At 37.4% G+C, this 20843-nt stretch overlaps 1 protein-coding gene across 5 annotated transcripts in view; it reads right to left on the bottom strand.

Annotated features, from left to right (window-relative positions):
* CDK13 (cyclin dependent kinase 13) overlaps window positions 1–20843 on the bottom strand; it is a 149325-nt gene that overhangs the window by 46204 nt on the left and 82278 nt on the right. For 3 of the 5 annotated variants that reach the window (XM_017012750.3, XM_017012751.3, XM_011515597.4), the window contains exons 6-8: window positions 7352–7541; window positions 5500–5556; window positions 469–558 (exon numbers count right to left, since the gene is read on the bottom strand). In XM_017012750.3, coding sequence (XP_016868239.1) covers window positions 469–558; window positions 5500–5556; window positions 7352–7541 — 337 coding nt within the window. The remainder of the gene's footprint in view (window positions 1–468; window positions 559–5499; window positions 5557–7351; window positions 7542–20843) is intronic. The other 2 variants (NM_003718.5, NM_031267.3) reach the window with 1 other exon arrangement.

Below are 20843 nucleotides of genomic sequence, written 5' to 3'. Positions count from 1 at the left end.
GGTGACTGGAAACCTTTAACTAAAACGGGAAATAAAGGAAAAGGAGTAGACATTTTTCTGGGGAATGAAATAGATAGGTTTTGTAACAAGGTTTAATTTAGGGTACCCAAATCACCTGGGTAGAGATTTCCAATAAACAAAAGGTCTGGAGACCAGAAGAAAGATCAAGGATTGGAATTCAGTTTTGTAAGTATTCAGCAGTAATGTCTCGGATGATATACCCCCAACAGAAGGAGGGGGGAATTCTTTCCACTTTATATGCTCAAAAATGAAGACTACTCCATTAGAGTTGAAGGGAGAACAATTTAATCTTGATCTTACAGTTAAAAGTCAATGATCTAAATGAGATCTCCTTTCCTGAAGCTTGTTTAATCATATTATTTATTGTCATTCATCTGTTATTAGTAATTTTTTTATTACCATGGTTCCAATCTTGTCTAGTGATTCTCAGAAGATCCTTTTCATTACCTAGAATCCCCAAAGCTCCCTGCACTCATCTGCATCAGGAGGATCCTCCAGATGAAGATCACCTTCTCCCAGATCAGCATCAACCAAGCACTTATCATGAATGCAGTCAATGTTTTAGGGAACATAAAACACAAAAGAATAAAATATGGTAATACTATCTTCCTCTCTCATTAATACCTTCAACTTTAGGAAAATTTAGTTTTGCTTTCAATAACAATGTTCTGAAAAGCCACTAGATGGCGATACTGCCTTCAAAAAGGTGTGTGCGTTTTGGGAGGGTGGTATTAGTGAGCTAATGCTCTAAGGCCCTTTTCATTTTTCCCTTCTCTCTCCTTACTGGATCATCATATGGAAATGTAGTATGCTTTCTGGTTATTGTTTAAAAAACTTTCATTTTGATCATAGTAATATTATTAAAGATACGTTTTTCAGGGCTGGGCACAGTGGCTCACACCTGTAATCCTAGCACTTTGGGAGGCAGAGGTGGGTAGATCACTTGAGGTCAGGAGTTCGAGGCCAGCCTGGCCAACATGGTGAAACCCCGTCTCTACTAAAAACACAAAAATTAGCTGGGCGTGGTGGCAGGTGCCTGTAATCCCATCTACTCAGGAGGCTGAGGCAGGAGAATCGCTTAAACCTAGGAGGCGGAGGTTGCAGTGAGCCGAGATCACACCAGTGCACTGCAGCTTGAGTGACAGAGTGAGACTCCGTCTCATAAATATAAATAAACAAATAAAGTGTCACATTATAGTTTCTTCTCTAGAAAATGAGGCTAGTTTCAATTAATATGGAAAACTTTTTTTCATACAGGACGGTCACATAAAGAGAGAAAGATACTCCATCCTTTTGAAAACCACTGGAGCAATGACTTGGTAAAATAAAAACTAAGAAGAGGGAAACATTGTAGCTGTCAGAAAAACTATACTTAAAAAACCATATACTAAAAGATGAACAGTTAATGAAGAAATGGGGCAAAAATCTCTATTCTCAAGTTTTAAAATTCCCAATGCAGAATGGGACAAAGTATAAATCCCAATGTTCAAAATGAGAAAATGACTGAAATTTAAGAAATCATTTTCCCCTCTAATTTTAATCCAGTGGTTCTCTTTCTTTCTTCAATAGGCACATGAAGAGCAGATCCACATTGGTCACAGACCCCCAAGTACTAGCTGTAACTCCACCCAGCTTTCCTCAAATTCAAAAAAGGAACATCCAAAATCTAATGAGAGCTGTGGTTGATGCTATTACAGTTGTAAGCTGAAAACTGCTCTATTTACAAACAAAAAACCTTACACAAAATTCTTGAACAATTCAGTTATTCGATCTATATTAACTACTTAGAAAATAAAAACACTTCAAAGTGACTTTATACTTGCATGAGTATTACAGTAAGGCCCTACCTGGCTCTCTGTTTATAATGAAGCAGAAATATGAATGAAAAATCATTTGTTACATATTTATCTCAAAAAATATCTAGAAAATTTGAGACAATACAATAAATCTGTTAAAGGTAGATTTCTTTTAAAATCACAGTTATTAAGGTTCACTAGAGCAACATATGTATTTTAAAGGTATTCCATTATATTAATACTACCTCTCCAGGAGATTCTGAAGAAATCAGAATTATTCTCTTAAAAAAAAAAAAGAGAAGTTTTAAAGGAGTATATAAACCCCATAATGATAGGATATTTGCTCTTAAAACAAAATGACAGACTGAATTTTCCTCTTATACATTTAACTGAGCAGAAAAATTCAGTATACATTACCTGAAGATGCAAAGTTATGGGACTTTAAAACTCTGGTTCTCTAAACTCAAAATTTCTACATCAATCCAGCAGGGCAACAGGGACCATGGCCCAGTGAACACACCACACCCCGGCACTCCAATGGAACCCAAATTATATTTTAAAATGAAAATCAATGGGAAAATTAAGCCTCATAATATAAAATTTGGCTTTATAATCAGCTTTTCTGAAACATATCTATTCCAAATGTGCACAAATATCTGCATAACAAGAATCTATTAGATTAAAATGGTAATTAGCTGTTTTCCATTCCATAGGAAAGGATTTACATAATTAACAACAGACACAAACTTATATTAAGCAAAATCTAACTACAGTGAAATCTCAACCAGCTTAGCAGATAGAATTCTTAATTAACCAGAACTTGCCCAAAATAATAGCCACATTAATTTAGTCATATATATGCTTCTCAGCTGGGCATGGTGGCTCATGCCTATAATCCCAGCACTTTGGGAGGCCAAGGCAGGCAGATCACTTGTGGTCACGAGTTCGAGACCAGCCTGGCCAACATGGCGAAATCCTGTCTCTACTAAAAAATACAAAAATTAGCTGGGCATGGTGGTGCACATCTGCAGTCCCAGCTACTCGGAAGGCTGAAGCTGGAGAATCGCTAGAACCCGGGAGGCGGAGGTTGCAGTGAGCTGAGATCACGCCACTGCACTCCAGCCTAGGCGACAGAGTGAGACTGTCTCAAATAAAATAAAATACATATGCTTCTTAAACAGCAGAAGAAAAAAATATACTTCAAGTTAAGTTTTGGATTAAGTACAGTTCAGACCAATTTTTCCTTTCAACTTCTACCAAGAGGCACTATTATATATGACAGAAAGAATAAAAAATTGCGAATTGAAAACTTAACTATACACCCTTGGCTCTGCTAACATTTTTTGATCTTTAAAGTCACTCAACCCTTCACAATAGCCAGGATAGGGAATCAACGTTAAGCGTCCACTAAGAGATGGACGGATAAAGAAAATGTGGCCTGTAATCCCAGCTATCGGTAGGCTGAGGCAGGAGAATCACTTGGACCCCGGAGGTGGAGGCTGTAGTGAGCTGAGATTGCACCACTGCACTCCAGCCTGGGCGACAGAGTGAGACTCTGTCTCAAAAAAAAACAAAACAAAACAAAAAAAGGAAAATGTGGCATATACGCACAATGAAATACTATTCAAGTCTTTAAAAAACAAGGAAATCCTGTCATTTATGACAACATGGATGAACGTGAAGCGCATTGTGTTAAGTGGAATAAGGCAGGCACATAAAGACAAATAACTCATCATTTCACTTATACGTGAAATCTAAAAAACCTCAACTCATAGAGGTAGAGAGTAGAGCTGGTAGTTACCAGATACGGGGCATAGGGAGTATGGGGGGAAGATGCTGGCCTAAGGATATAAAAGTTCAGTTAGACAAAAGTAAATTCAAGAGATTTATTGTACAACTTGGCAGCTACACTTAATAACAATGTATTCTTGAAAATTGTTGAGAGTAGATTTTTAAGTGTTGGCACACACAAAAAAAATGTGGGGTAATGCATAGTAATTAGCTCAATGTAGCCATTTCACAATGTATACATATTTCAAAATTAAAAAAGGAAACTAACTCAGCCCTTTCTGGGTCTCAATTCGCTCAAATGCAAAATGAGGGACATAGCTTTTGAGCTTTAAAACAGTTTTAAACTTCAAAAAAAAAAAAACACTCATACAACCCTTTCCTAAAATAAAATGTTAATTTTAAGTGTAGTAGTTAAAACAAATAAAAACCAAGTAACTCTGGTGAAAGTTGGTACAGAGGACTGGAGGTCCAATCACAAAACCCCATCCACAGAACACTTTCTTTCCTTTCTCTCTCTCTGTCTCTCTTTCCTTCCTTCCTCCTTCCCTCTCTCCTCCCTTCCTTTTTTTTTTTTTTTTTTTTTTTTTTTGGAGACAGTCTTGCTGGAGTACAGTGGTGTGATCTCGGCTCACTGCAACCTCCGCCTCCCAGGTTTAAGTGATTCTTGTGCCTCAGCCTCCCAAGTAGCTGGGATTATAGGCGTGCACCACCAAGCCCAGCTATTTTTAGTAGAGATGGGGTTTCACCATGTTGGCCAGGCTGGTCTCCAAGTGCTGACCCTCAAGTGATCCGCCTGCCTCTGCCTCCCAAAGTGCTGGGATTTGTACAAGCATGAGCCACTGCGCCTGGCCCACTGCACACTTTCTGAGGGGTTTCATGGAACTTGAATAGATCCAAAACATATCACTTATAAACCTCTACTCTAGAACACTATATAAGGAAAATACTTTCCAGAATTATGTCACAGGCGCTGCAAGATTTAACAAAATAAGACTTTTTACTCTGAAAAATTCAAACGAGAGTTTTTGTTTATTGCTTTAACCAAAAAAAGCAAAGATTAAATGAAAGTAAACATCTATTCCTAAGACTGCAATCAACTGATGTTTCATTATATTAAATTATGGTGATATTAAAGAAATGACAAAATTGTCATAAAATAATTTTAAAATTCTTTAACTATATTATTTCAGATATATATATACACATATGGAAATAAAGACAAAAAAGGAATGGGGTAAATGGACTAAAGATTTATTAAGCCAAATTAATTCCGTATTTTATTTACATAAAACCTACTATTGCACAAAAATATTTTATTTTGAAATCCCATATTAGTTTTAATAAGACAAATCATATTTCACTACCACCAGGCACAAAGAAAGCCAAGTTGGGTATATAATCCAACTTTAGCCAGAAAAGTTCTACATTTTTGTGTCTTATACAGTGAACATCCTCCCAACAGTTGGTTTAAATAAAGGGTTCTAGGGAGTTAAAAAAACAAAGAACTGTAGATATAACAATAAAATCTGTCTAAAATAATAATGAAACCAAAGTTTATAAGTTTAAAAATGCAATTTAAAAGGTTTTCATTAAGAATATTTAATATCTGAATACGTATTAGAAATTTAAGTTCACTTCAGTTACACTTAAAGATGTTCATTTAAAAAAATCATTTTTACCTGTTGAAGATCAATTTTTAAATTGAGATAATGTATAAAATATTGTAATTACAATAATCAACCCAATATGGTATAAAATTTCAATGTTTTATGTACTAACCATGAAAAGTAAACTTCTCTTTTAAAAAATAAAACTATCAATAAGGTATTCTTAGTATAGCTTCTAATACTAAACTCTAGTATCTACAATATTCATTTGAAGGTATGCTTACCTTTCTTCTGAGCTATACAATCGAGCAAGTCCAAAGTCTGCAAGTTTTATCTGCCCTCTGGTGGAAATAAGACAAAATGAACAAAAGGTATTAATTTACTCTTAATTGACAATACACATTTATATTCTATGCCTAGAACTGATTAAAAAAAAAAAACCTATGTAAACTTTAACTCTGCTCACACTGCAATATCATCAAGGTAATACAGGGAAAGGCAAGTAGTGGATAAATTCACAAAACAAGAAAGTAAACTATCCTTGGATAGTCTTAAAATTATTATAGTAATATGATTATTATAATTACTGTATTATAATATTAGAATAGTATTTTATTACTATTCAGTTCCTATTTAGAAAAGCATACTTCAATGAAAATAAAATGAGATCCTTTTTATTACTTAGCAGTAAGACAAATTTCTTGTTCAAGGTAACAGTGCTCAAGAACGAAGTGACATCACTTTTAATTTGTTTAATTCTCCAGTTTTAGAGGGGCTAGGTGCATAGAACACTGTCTATTAATTAAAATGAGAACCAGCCATGCCTTATTTAAATTAACAAACAGTACCAATTACAAGAGAATTATCAGGGTTCAAATATAAGATGTTACAAATCTAAGCTTATTTACATAAGTTTTAAATATGTGAATGTGTATGTGTGTGTACACACTTCCAAGAAGTTCACTTTACAACTGTGACTGCTTTTTTAAAATTTTCTAAAATCTATTCTTAACCTAAAGCTGAAGTTACATTGCTTATCAGATGATCCATTCACATTACTTGGAATAATAGCAAACAGAAAAGTCAACTAAGTATTATTTTATATGCATTACAGACTATTATTAGATTTTTTTTTTTTTTTTTTTTTTTGAGACCGAGTCTTGCTTGCTTTGTCACCCAGGCTGGAGTGCAGTGGCACTATCTCAGCTCACTGACTCCACTCAACTCCACTTCTGGGATTCAAGCGATTCTCGTTCCTCAGGCTTTCTAGCAGCTGGGATTACGGGTGTGTGCCACCACACCGGGTTTATTTTTGTATTTTTAGTAGAGACAGGGTTTCACCATGTTGGCCAGGCTGGTCTTGAACTCCTGGCCTCAAGTGATCCATCTGCCTCATCCTCCCAAAGTGTTGGGATTACAGGCTGAGCTGCCCCACCCGGCCACTAACAGCTATGTAACACAACTTTTGAGGTATCCCAAGTTATAATATTGTTGATTATTTTTATTTTTATTTTTGAGCCAGAGTCTCGCTGTGTCACCTAGGCTGGAGTACAGTGGCATGATCTCAGCTCACTGCAACCTCCACCTCCTAGATTCAAGCAATTCTCATGCCTCAGCCTCCTGTGTAGCTGGCATCACAGGCATGCTCCACCACGCTAGGCTAACTTTTCTATTTTTTTGGTAGAGACAGGGTTTCATCAACGTTGGCCAGGCTGGTCATGAACTCCTGGTCTCAAGTGATCCGCCCGTCTCTACTTCTCAAGGTGCTGGGATTACAGGCGTGAGCCACTGTGGCTGGCCTGATTATTTTTACATAGTTTGTATAAAGTAAACTAAATTTTAAATCTTTTTTAACATAATCAAGGTGCAACATCATGTAACACCGTATCTTTATTTTAAAAATTTTAGATTCGGGGGTATATGTGTTTGTTGGTGACATGGGTATTACAAGTGTAATAGTAGGGGTTAGGCTTCTGGGGTACCCATCACCCAAACGTTGGACACTGTACCTAATAGGTAACTTTCAACGCTCACCACCCCCGACATTCCCCGCCGCTACGGTTTCCAGTCTATTCTCTCCATGTACATGTCCATGGTAAAACTCATTTTAAATATATATAAAGTTCATACCCATACCTATTATTTAGAAGGATATTGGAACATTTAATATCTCTATGCAAAAAGTTCTTCTTATGACAATAATCCAGACCCTCCATGAGCTGTCTCATAAATGACTTTATGTGATTTTCATTAAAATGAACCAAGCCTGATTCCAGTAGTCCCATCAGATCATGGTCCATATATTCAAACACCAGATAAAATGCACCTAAGAATGAGAATAATTAATACATTAGAAACTTATTCCTACAACCTTTCCATAAATTCACAATTTTTAACAATAAAAGGCTGGTAGAGGAAGAATTAATCCTTGAAAAGAAGTGTTACTTTGTTACTTTAATAACATTCATCTTTCTCTCTGGACTTAATAATATTAATAAATAAATCCCAAGGAAAACATCTAATCTATTTTCTTCTCCCCGCAAAAAAACAGTTATGATTTTAAAAAAAAAAAAAATCACCCTGCTGTTCTCCATATTGTATAGTTTCTAGGTGTGATTAATGTTTTAGACGTCAAATTGTCTCTTAGAAGCTGAATAAAGTCAATATAGTTTATCAAAAAATTAAAAGTTGGTAAAAGAACTGCTTTTAATTAAAAAAAAAAAAAAAAAGAGTACAGGCCAAGAAAGATGTTAGGCGACTTCTAAATGCCTCAATAAACATGTAATTTAATTCTGTTTATACAGCTCCAGAGTACCTAAAAGCAAGAATTTGAGGAAAAACAATATAATTTGAAATTACAACTTTATTTTATAAAAAACAGCTTAGTCCTGCTACCAAAACCTAAAATAGCACATAGCACACACACACAAACTATACAAACGTACTTACGAGAGATTTAGAAATCCTAAAAGAAACTTACACACAAACTGAATGAGAAATATAATTCATTACATTTGTGAAAAGCAGAAAAACTAACACGAAGACAAAAAAAGCATCTGAACTTGGTTCAGATAAGTTCCTAATTTTTAAAACAGAGCAAAGAACTCTCGGTAAACTTGCAACAGAAGGAGTCTTTCTTAAAAGTTTATTATGGTACCTCCCTGAAACCAACAACCAATGTCATATTTAATAGGAAAGGCTAGATATTATGTATGAGATTAAAAACAAAAATTGCCAGTGGCTCATGCCTGTAATCCCAGGGCTTTGGGAGGCCAAGGTGGGCGGATCATGAGGTCAGGAGATCAAGACCATCCTGGTTGACACAGTGAAACCCCGTCTCTAATAAATATACAAAAAATTAGCCTGGCATGGTGGTGGATGCCTGTAGTTCCAGCTACTCGGGAGGCTGAGGCAGGAGAATGGCATGAACCCGGGAGGCAGAGCTTGCAGTGAGCCGAGATCACGCTACTGCACTCTAGCCTGGGTGACAGAGCGAGACTCCGTCTCAAAAAAAGAAAAATCAATACTCAAAAAGCAAAAGACAGCCGGGCGCTGTGGCTCATGCCTATAATCCCAGCACTTTGGGAGGCTGAGGCAGGTGGATCATCTGAGGTCAGGAACATGAAACCAGCCTGGGCAACATGTCGAAACCCTGTCTCTACAAAAACTACAAAAATTAGCCTGGCGTGGTGGTGTGTTATCTTAATCCCAGCTACTCGGGGGACTGAAGTAGGAGGATGGCTTGAGCCCAGGAGGCAGAGGTTGCAGTAAGCTGAGATTGAGCCACTGTACTCCAGCCTGGGCAACAGAGCCAGACTTTGTCTCAAAGAAGAAAAAAAAAAAAGCAAAAGACTTCATATATGAAGAAACAATTCACTAGAAAATAAAATTTAAATGACTTCACAATAGAAAAAAATTACTACTAATGACCAGGACTAAACTTTAACAAGAATTATACAAAACTGAGCCAGGCGTGGTGGCTCACACCTATAATCCCAGCACTTTGAGAGGCCAAAGTGGGCGGATCACCTGAGGTCAGGAGTTAGAGACCAGCCTGGCCAACATAGTGAAACCCCATCTCTACTAAAAATACAAAAACTAGCCAGGCATGGTGGCGTGCACCTGTAATCCCAGCTGCTCCAGAGGCTGAGGCAGAAGAATCACTTGAACCAGGGAGGTGGAGGTTGCAGTGAGCCGAGGTGGTGCCACTGCACTCCAGCCTGTGCAACAGAGCAAGATTCCATCTCAAAAAAAAAAAAAAAATTATACAAAATTCATTAATAAACACCAAATTGTAAAACTCTGTATTTTTCTTTTCTTTTTTTTTTTTGAGACAGGGTCTCACTCACTCTGTCACCCAGACTGGAGTACAGTGGCACCATCACAACTCACTATATCCCTGACCTCTGAGCTCAAGTGATCTTCCTACCTCAGCCTTCCAAGTATAGTTGGGGTCATGGGCTCCCACCACCACATCTGGCTAATTTTTCTGTTTGTTTTATTTCTGGTAGAGATGGGGTCTCTCTATGTTACCCAGGTTAGTCTTGAATTCCCCGACTCAAGAGATCCTCCCACCTTGGCTCCCAAAGTGGCAGATTACAGGTTTGAGGTACCACGCACATATAAAACTCTGTATTTTAAAGCAATTTCAATAAAAGGACCAATGGTTTTTCTCTTTTGTCACCAGGAGCGAGGAGACTTAACTTGACAAAATAATTCTAAAATTATCCTTGAAGAAAACAAACCAGAGTACTAGCCAAAACATTTCTGAAAATAAACACTTGCCCTACTAGAAATTAATCTGACCTGTGTCATACCATAGGGACTGACAGAACAGTGGAAATAATACACACCAGAAAACAAATCCCAGTTATATATCTAATAATTATAAAAATAGCCAATTTAAGTCAGTGAAGAAAGAATAGATAAAATAGTGTTTTGACAAATGTATAATCCCACAAGGAGGTGGACAGTTACATCAAAGAAAAATGCAATAAAAAGCCAACAGATTTCAATTCATTAAATGAAAATGTAGAAGTACTGCCTAAGGAAACAATATGGAAGAGAGATAAAAGGCAAATGATGGCTGCGCATGGTAGCTCACGCCAGTAATCCAAGCACTTTGGGAGATCGGGGCGAGAGGACTGCTTGAGGCCAGGGGTTTGAGACTAGCCTGGGGCGACATGGAGAGATCCTGTCTCTACAGAAATTTAAAAATTAGCCAGGTGTGGTAGTGCACACCTGTAATTCTAGCTACTTGGGGGGCTGAGGCAGGAGGACTACTTGAGCCCCAGAGTTTGGAGACTGTGGCTGCAGGGCCACTGCATTCCAGCCTGGGTGACAGAAGGAGACAGACCCAGTCTCAAAAAAAAAAAAAGGAGGGCTGGAGCACGGTGGCTCACACCTGTAATCCCAACACTTTCGGAGGCCGAGGTGGGTGGATCGCTTGAGGCCGTAAGTTTTGAGACTAGCCTGGACAACATGGTAAAACCCCGTCTCTGCTAAAATACAAAAAAAACAGCTGGATGTGGGGCACATGCCTGTAATCCCAGCTACTTGGGAGGCTGAGGTGGGAGGATCACCTAAGCCTGGGAGGTCAAGGTTGCAGTTAGCTGTGATTGCGCCACTGCACTCCAGCCCGGGTGATAGAGTGAACCCTGTCAAAAAAAAAAAAAAAAAAAAAAGAAAGAAAAGAAAAGGACAAACTGGAGAAGTATCTATAACATATACTAGATTAATATCCTTAATATAAAATGAGATCTTACAAATCAATACAAAAACGGCTGGGTGTGGTGGCTCACGACTGTTATCCCAGCACTTTGGGAGGCCGAGGTGGGCGGATCACTTCAGCTCAGGAGTTCGAGACCAGCCTGGCCAACATGGTGAAACCCCGTCTCTACTAAAAATACAAAAAAATTAGCTGGGCTTGGTGGTACAAGCCTGTAATCCCAGCTACTCGGGAGGCTGACGAGGAGAATCACTTGAACCCGAGAGGCGGAGGTTGCAGTGAGCCGAGATCGCGCCAGCCTGGGAGACAGACCAAGATCTCAAACAACTACAACAACAAAAAAAGAATCAATACAAAAAAATACCAATCCCACAACAGAAAATAAGAAATCAAATGAACTGTCAATATGCAAAAGAATGCCTATGTCCAAAAAACACACGAAAAATATTTAATCTCATTACTAAACAAAATATACAAATCAAAGCAACTGTATAACACTTTTAAATTGCATACTCTTTCACGTGGCAAGACTGCAAAGATTTAGCTGTAAGCATGATCACTAAAGCAATGTAATAATAAAACACTTAAAAACAAAACAATATGTCAAAAAAGTTCTTCTGGTATATCTTATGCCACTCCATGTAACTTTGAAAAATGTTGTAGAGATGTAATTATTGATGTGGAAATGTACTGAGCATGCTGAGTAAAAGGAAGTCAGTTATCAAATATACACATACCGCTATCTCTGCTGTTATTTAACATTATATTGGTGGCATTATGTAACACAGAAAGATAAAAGACAGCATTAAGAGTTGCATGGTCCAATACAGTAGCTACTAGCCACTAGCCACATGTGGCTAATGAGCTCTTGAAATGTGGCTAGTTAAAAAATGCTACGAGTTCTGGTATGACTTTGAGAATTATTAAAAGTATATAGAAAAAAATTAAAAATAAAAATGCTATGAGTGCAAAACACATACTGAATTTTGAAGACAGTACAAAATAAAAGAATATAAAATATCTCAATAATTTGTGGTCTTGATTACATACTGAAATAATCTATTAGATACATTGGGTTAAATGTATTATTTGTTTAGTTGGTTTTTTTGAGACAGAGTCTCACTCTGTTGCCCAGGCTGGAGTGCAGTGGCACGATCTTGGCTCACTGCAACCTCCGCCTCCTGGGTTCAAGTGATTCTCATGCCTCAGCCTCCCAAGCAGCTGGGATTACTGGTGTGCACCACCACTCCTGGCTAATTTTTGTATTTTTAGTAGAGATGGGGTTTCACAATGTTGGCCAGGCTGGTCTTGAACTCCTAACCTCAGGTGATCCACCCACCTCAGCCCCTCAAAGAGCTGGGATTACAGGCACGAGCCACTGTGCCTGGGTTAAATACGTTATTAATTTCAACCTTTCTTTTTTTAAAATGAAGTTACCAGATGATTTTAAATTAAAATGCAATGGCTCACATTCTATTTCCATTAAACAGCACTTAATTCGAGATTTAAGAATTGACATAGGAAAGCTAAAACTATCTTTAAATGCAGATAACAAGTTTTTGGCCTCCGGAGAGCCATAAACACTCAATGACAACAAAAAAATTATTACAGTTAAACAGGTTAAAAAAGTAGAATATTACATATAATAGTCACTAACATCAACCACCAGTTAAAATATAAAATGGAAGACCCCATTAGTAATAGCTAATCAATTAATTAAATTTAAAAAGCTCACATAAGAAATGTGAGAAATCCTTTAAACTATAAACACTCTTACAAGACAGAAAAGTACACATGAGCAAATGGATAGCAGGGCTAAACATGATAAAGATGTTAATTATCCCTATGTTAGTTTATAAATTAGACACAGCCCAATTTTTCACAATACTTATTGGTTGTTTTTCTGTAATGTATATCCACGTAGAAAAATAATTAAGAATAGCAAAGTAACACCTGAAAGAGAAAGGGGGTATGTGTACACACTATCAGATATTAAACCAGTATACATTTCCATCGTTAAAAAGTGTGATACTGGTAAATAAACATGAAATAAAACAGAAAATTCAGAAATATATCCACATACATATGGACCTTTACTATATGATAAAGATGGCATATCAATTCAGTGTGGAAAAGATGGACTTTTTAATTGGTGGTATTGGGATAACTGAATAGCCAGAAAAAGATAAAACTTGTCTGTCTCTCACACTATACACCAGCATAAAAAGCAAATGAATCTACAAAATTACAAAAAATTAGCCAGGTGTGGTGGTGGGTGCCTGTAATCCCAGCTACTGGGGAGGCAGAGGCAGGAGAATCGCTTGAATCTGGGAGACAGAGGTTGCAGTGAGCTGAGATTGTGCCATTGCAATCCATCCTGGATGAACAACATGAGCAAAACTCAATCTCAAAAAAAAAAAAAAAGCAAATGAATCAGTTATCTAAATTTTTTTAAAGAACTATAAAAGTACTTTTAAAAAAACACAGAATTCCTTAATAACCTAAGAGTAGAAAAAAAGTTCCAACTAGGAATCAAGAAATAATTTATACCAAGAAATAATAAATATGACAAATACGACTATGTAAAAATAAAAATCCTCTGCATGGCTAAAAATACCACAAGCAAAATTAAAAGAATATAGCAACCTGGAAAAAAATTAGCTGCAACTTACACTGCAGAGTGATTATTAGTATCAACTACAGTCCAGGCACGGTGGCTCACGCCTGTAATCCCAGTACTTTGGGAGGCTGAGGCAGGTGGATCACTTGAGGTCAGGAGTTCGAGACCAGCCTGGCCAACATGGTGAAACTCTCTCTCTACTAAAAATACAAAAATTAGCCGGGCATGGTGGTTCATGCCTATAATCCCAGCTATTCAGGAGGCTGAGGCATGAGAATCACTTGAATGCAGGAAGTGGAGGTTGCAGTGAGCTGAGATCCTGCCACTGCATTCCCGCCTGGGCGACACTCTGTCGCAAAAAAAAAAAAAAAAAAAAAAATTAGCCGGGCATGGTCGTGGGCACCTGTAATCCTGGCTACTTGGGAGGCTGAAGCAGGAGAATCACTTAAGCCAGGAGGCGGAGGTTGCAGTGAGTCACAATCGTGCCACTGCACTCCTGCACTCCAGCCTGGGCAACAAAGCAAGACACTCTCTCTCTCTCTATCTGTATATATAAATAAAATAAAAACTCTCTAAATTAGGGGGAAAAAAGATCAACGACCTTACAGAAAGTGAGAAAAAGAGACAATTAGCTCATCCGAAAAAAGAGCAAAGTGCCCCTAAGTGAATGCAAAGTTAAAAACTCTAAATTAGGGGGAGAAAAGATCAACGACCTTACAAAAAAGTGAGAAAGAGAGACAATTAGCTCATCCGAAAAAAGAGCGAAGCGCCCCTAAGTGAATGCAAAGTAGCTTAATCTTGCTCACAATAAAAATTTGTGGCCAGGCACAGTGGCTCACGCCTATAATCCCAGCACTTTGGGACGCTGAGGTGGGCAGATCACCTGAGGTCGGGCGATCGAGACCAGACTAACTAACACGAAGAAACCCCGTTTCTGCTAAAAATATAAAATTAGCCAGGCATGGTGGTGCATGACTGTAATCCCAACTACTTGGGAGGCTGAGACAAGAGAATCGCTTGAACCCAGGAGGCAGAGGCTGCGGTAAGCCAAGATCATGCCATTGCACTCCAGCCTGGGCAACAAGAGCGAAACTCCGTCTCAAAATAAATATAAATTAATTAATTTCCCAAACTAAAACTTGACCAAGATACTAAATTGACAAAAATCTAAAAGTAGAACTCCAGAGTCTACTGACAAAGCTGTAAGAAACACTTTCATACATTGGTAGTAGAAATAACACAAAAAAAAGCCCTCTGAAGAGAAATTTGGCAATATCTAGCTAAATCACATTCAGTATTTCCCTTTGACTTAACAATCCCAATTCTAGGAACTTGTACCAAAAATTCACTGGCCAAAATACAAAATGATGTATGCATAGGGCTATTCAATGCAGCATTATTTACACAATGAAAATATCTATCATTAGGAAACTAGCTGAATAAACTATAGCATACCCACACAGTGCAGTGCCTCTAAGCAATGCGTGATTTTTGTCTACTAACAAAATGATTTTTGTCTACTAACATGGAGTAAACTTCAGCATATATGGTTAAATGAAAAGAAAAAGGTACAGCAGAGCACTTACAACATTGCTACCTTTTTTTATATATAAAAAAAGGAATGTGAATATGTACAAAAGAAACATTGGAGGATGAAACAAACATTTAAAATAGTTACCCATGGGTAAGGGAGAGAACAAGAAAAAGAAGAATGGAAGTGACACTATTCTGAATGTACCTGTTTTATAGTTTAGAGTTTGAAACCAAGTAAATGTTTTATATAATTAAAATACATTATTAAATCAAAAAGGGAAAAAAAGCAATCCCTAAAAAACTGGAAACATATCCACATTTAGGTGGATTTATGTTTATCAAATTGGTTGCATAAACTGTCTACAATAGAGTATACTGACTATATACAGCTGGGGGGTATATTTTAAGGACAAAAAGAATCACTAAGAAATCTTAAACTGCATTCAGTAGTCTTTTTAGTAATTAATATCAGCATTGTTACTTTGAAATTATTACATGTATATGGTAGAACAAAGCAAGCTATGTTAATATTTTAGGAACCAGGGCTTTTAGTTTACAAGAAAGATAAGGTCAAAGATGTATAAATCCTGTACTCTGAAATTGAAACTGAAATCATCTACAGTAGCAAGCCTCCAAAATGGTCCTAAATGATCCTCACTATCTGGCATCCATGCCACGCCACAGTGATTCAAGGACGGTCTGTGTGACCAACAGAATATTGGAGAGTGAATGATGTGACTTCCAAGTCTAGGTCATAAAGACAATGCAGCGTCTACCTTACTTTTTTAGATCATTCAACCTGGGAGAAGCCAGCCACCAAGGCTGTCAGGATATTTAAGCAACTTTGTGGAAGGCCCATGTAAAGAATAAGTGAGACCTCCCATCAAGAGAACAACTTGCTAGCCATGTGAGGGGAGCCATCTTGGAAGTGGATTCTCTAACCCCAGTCAAGCCTTCTAACGACAACCCTAGCTAACATCTCACTGCAATCTTATGAGAGACCCCAAACCAAAACTGCCAAGCCAAGATTCTCCCAAATTCCTGCCCACAGAAACTTCAAGATATAGTAGCTTCTACCATAATCTTTTAAGTACAACTGCCAAAGAATTGAATTTGTATCTAAATAAACTTCTGGATTTAATTACTATTTAGAGGAAAAAAGAGGGATAGAAGAACAAGCTAACTAACACCCAAAGGAAGCATTTGGCCAAATTGAAAATGCAGTCTACTCTCCAATAAATAAATGGAATAAAATGTTTAAAAGGCAAGAAGAGCTACTATAAATTATGAGACTTAAAATATTAATTAATATGAATAACATGCCATCTTGTTTGTATCCAGGTTCAAACAAAGCAGCTATAAAAAACATTTTTGAGACAACTGGGTAAACGTGAATGTATATCATTAGATGACATAAAATTATGGCTGATTTTGTTAACTATAAGGTCTCTTTTCTTTTTAAATGTAACTACAATTTCATTATCTATTGTCTCTCCATAATCAAAGACTAACTTTTATAATACAATGAGCCTGAGATTCACTTAAAAATAATCCAGGAGTTTTTTGTTTTTTTTTTTAAGTTGACAGGGATAAGTAAATTTAGCAAAATGTGTTAACTATAAAAGTGAAAGATGGGGACACTGGGGTTCATTATACTATTTCCTCTACTTTTATTTTTATATTTTAATGTAATTTAATTTAATTTTTTTTGAGACGGAGTCTCGCGCTGTCACCCAGACTGGAGTACAGTGCACGATCTCAACTCACTGCAGCCTCCACCTCCCAGGTTCAGGCAATTCTCCTGCCTCAGCCTCCAGAGTAGCTGGGATTACAGGTACCTGCCACCACACCTGGCTAATTGTTGTACTTTTGGTAGAGACAGGGTTTCGCCATGTTGGCCAGGCTGGTCTCAAACTCCTGACCTCATCTACTTTTAGATGTTTGAATATTTTAGTAATAATGAGTCTCTTAAAAATGTAAATAAAATTTTAGAAGGCTTTGAAATTATTAAATTGAATTAAGAGATAAATTTCATGTTCCTATATTTTAAAACTGGTTTTCACTTTTTATCAAGGTTTTATATGTGTGTGTGTGTGTGTGTGTGTGTAATTTATTTATTTATTTTGAGACAGGGTCTCACTCTGTTGCCCAGGCTGGAGTGCAGTGGTACAATCTTGCCACCACTTCCTAGGCTCAAGTGCTCCTCCTCCTGCCTCAGCCACCCCAGCAGCTGGGACTAAAGGTGTGTGCCACCACACTTTGCTAATTTCTGTAATTTTTTATAGAGACGAGGTCTTACTATATCACCCAGGCTGGTCTCAAACTCCTGGGGGCTCAAGCTATCCTCCTGCCTTAGCCTCCCAAAGTGCTGGATTACGGGTGGAAGCCAAGGTTATATATTTATGTAGTTTAAAGCAGCGATTCCCAACCTTCTTGGCATCAGGGACCAGTTTCATGGAAGACAATTTTTCCATGGACTGGGGATGGGGGGATGGGGGGACGGGTGGGTGGAGGGATGGTTTTGGGATGATTCAAGTACATTACATTTCTTGTACACTTTATTTCTATTGTTATTACACTGTAACATATAATGAAATAGTTATACAACTCACCATAATGTACAATCAGTGGGGGCCCTGAGCTGGTTTTCCTGCAACTAGATGGTCCCATCTGGGGATGATGGGAGACAGTGACAGATCATCAGACATTAGATTCTCATAAGGAGTACACAACCTAGATCCCTTGCATGTGCAGTTCACAATAGGGTTTGTGCTCCTATGAGAATCTAATGCTGTCACTGATCTGACAGCAGGAAGAGCTCAGGCAGTTATGGGAGCTATGGGGAGCCACTGCAAATACAGATGAAGCTTCACTCGCTCACCTTCCACTCACCTCCTACTGTGCGGCCCAGTTCCTAACCAGCCACAGACCAGTACCTGTCCATGGCCTGGGGGCTGGGAAACCCTGGTTTAAGGCGATGTTTTTCAAACTGTGGGTCATGCAATCAATTGAGTAGGTCATGACCTGCATTTTTAAAAACATTTTTATATTGCTTCATATTTTTCCGATATTGTATTTAAAAATTAATAAAATCATATGTAATGTAGTTGTGGAACTATAACATGCCACATAAAATTTCATTATGGTAGGAAAGCTGATATATATACATATCCTTAGAAAAATATTAGTATCAAAACTCTAAGAGTTTATCTGTGTGAACAGATAAGTGATTTTTACTTTCTCTTATGCTGCAATTTTCTAAATTTTTCTAGAAGTATAATTTTAAGAAATATTATCAATTGTGCCTAACAGATGAATAAGGGGAACAGCAAATAACCCAACTGAAAGTAAATGTCAATGTCCACAAATAAAGAATCCAGAGAGGAAATTATAATGTTAATAAACATATGTAAGATGCTCCATACCTCACCAGTTTTCAAGAAAGTACTAATCAAAGCAATGATGAGATACCATTCTCTTCTACCAGACTGACAACATCCAGTAATAGCCAAAGAAAGGAAACTCATACACTGCTATGTTTGGGCAAAGTAATCAGACAATATGTATTATTAAAAACACAAATATCCTTTGACTTAGCTATCCCACTTTTAAGAGTAAATGTAAAGAAATAACAGCACTAGTATGCAAATATACATGTACAGGAATATTTTTAGCAGTACTATTTATAATGTAAAAAAGCTGAGAAAACTTGAATGTCCATCAATAAACAAAGGTTGAATAAATCTAGTATATCCATATTGTAGTATATTATGCAGCTAGAGATATGTTATAATCTTTAATAAGAAAAGTAAAATATAGAAAAAAAATTAGCCCTGCAGATGACCGGTTTCTGGTCTGGAATTTAAGGAGTTAAAAACTGCCATTCCATACTCAAAACAAAAGAAAAGCAAAGGTGAAAAGCAACAACTCTTCGTAAAGCCATTGCAGAAATTGGAGTCACAGGGCAAACCACTGCCCCCAAAATTAGAGAGAGAGGCAGGCAGGTTCAGGATACAGAGAACCACAACTTACAACTGCAGAAAGCTCCTTGGGAACCATTACCAAGGTAGGAAAGCCTAAACCAAGCTGGAGGTTCAGTGTGAACAAGTTTTAATTAAAAACTACAGCAGGACCCTGTCTGAGAGGCCTCCACATTTTGTCAGTTTTTAACAACCAGAAGCCCTGCCAGATTATCATAGCGAAGATCAGAAAAAAATATGTAGTTATGATGAAATATGCCCAGAGCATTCTGTCCTTAACAAGGCCTGACTTCAAGAGAAATTAATTATCAGAGACTAACCTACCAGGGTTCCACCAGAGCCTTACCAATCTAGAAGGGAAATATTCAACTCCAGAGCATTCTAGCCTTAGACTTAGGGTAATGAAATACCCAATACCAGCATCCTCTAGCACTCCTGTCTCACTGCAGGGAAAAACCAAAACTTAGAAGTACTTGTAGAGACTACAGACCAGGGACACAGGTTCACTAAAAGACTGAGAACAAATCTTTAGGCTATAGAACACTTCCCTCCCTCTACGCCTTACCACTATACAAATATGGCTCCTGTATACTAAGTGGAGAATACAACTAAACAAATTGCACACCTCAGACCTTATTTAAGAAGAAATTCCAAAGAAACCAAAAGACAACAGGGAAGACAAAAACATGAACACTAGAGGAAATTTTGGCCTCTGATACTTACAGGTACAGCAAACAGTGAACATAGCCTAACCCCTAGCCAGATAAACACAAAACCTTACACTAAAGGCCTATTTACCTCAGTTCCTTCTACACCACGTACTATCTCTGACTTTCAATGAAAAATTTTAAAGCACGCTAAAACACAGTTTGAAGAAACAAGCATCAGAGTCAGACTCAGATATAGCAGAAATACTGGCATTATCAGACTACTAATTTTTTTAAAGCTCTAATTAATATTCCTAGAGCTCTAATGGAAAAAAGGTGGGCAAAATGCAAAAGCAGAGAAATGGAAACTCTAAGAAAGAATCAAAGGACAATGTTCAGGCCAGGCATGGTGGCTCATGCCTGTAATCCCAGCACTTTGGGAAGCTGAGGTGGGCAGATCACCTGAGGTCAAGAGTTCGAGATCAGCCAGGCCAACATGGTGAGACCCCATCTCTACTAAAAATACAGAAATTAGCCAAACATGGTGGCTCACACATATAATCCCAAGTACTCTATATGAGGAAAACAATAAAACTCTAATGAAAGAAATCAAAAGAATGAAGAGAAATGCCATGCACATAGACAGACTCCACACTGTCAAGACGTCAGTTCTTTCCCAACTTGCTGTATGCATTTAAAGCAATCCCAATCAAAATCCCAGCAAGTTATTGTGTGGATTATCAACAAATTGATTCTAACGTTTATATAGATAGTAAAAGATTCAGAGTAGCAAGAAAACATTTTATGAGAGCAAAGTTAGAGGGCTGACACTATCCAACTTTAAGACTGACCATAAAGCTACAGTAATTAATACAGTATGGTATCAGTGGGAAAAAAAAAACATAACTAGACTAATAAAACACAATACAAAAGCTCAGAAATGCATCCATTAAAAAAACAGTCAACTGATCTTTGATAATGGAGTTAAAGCACTTCAATGGAGAAAGGATAGTCTTTTCAGCAACTGCTGCTTAAACAAGGGGACACCAACAAGTGAACAAAATGAAATTTAGACACAAACCTTATACCTTTCACAAAAATTAACTCAAAATGGATCAAA

This window comes from Homo sapiens, chromosome 7 (assembly GCF_000001405.40).
Source record: "Homo sapiens chromosome 7, GRCh38.p14 Primary Assembly".
Lineage (NCBI taxonomy): Eukaryota > Metazoa > Chordata > Mammalia > Primates > Hominidae > Homo > Homo sapiens.
This window is presented reverse-complemented; position numbering and strand designations above follow the sequence as displayed.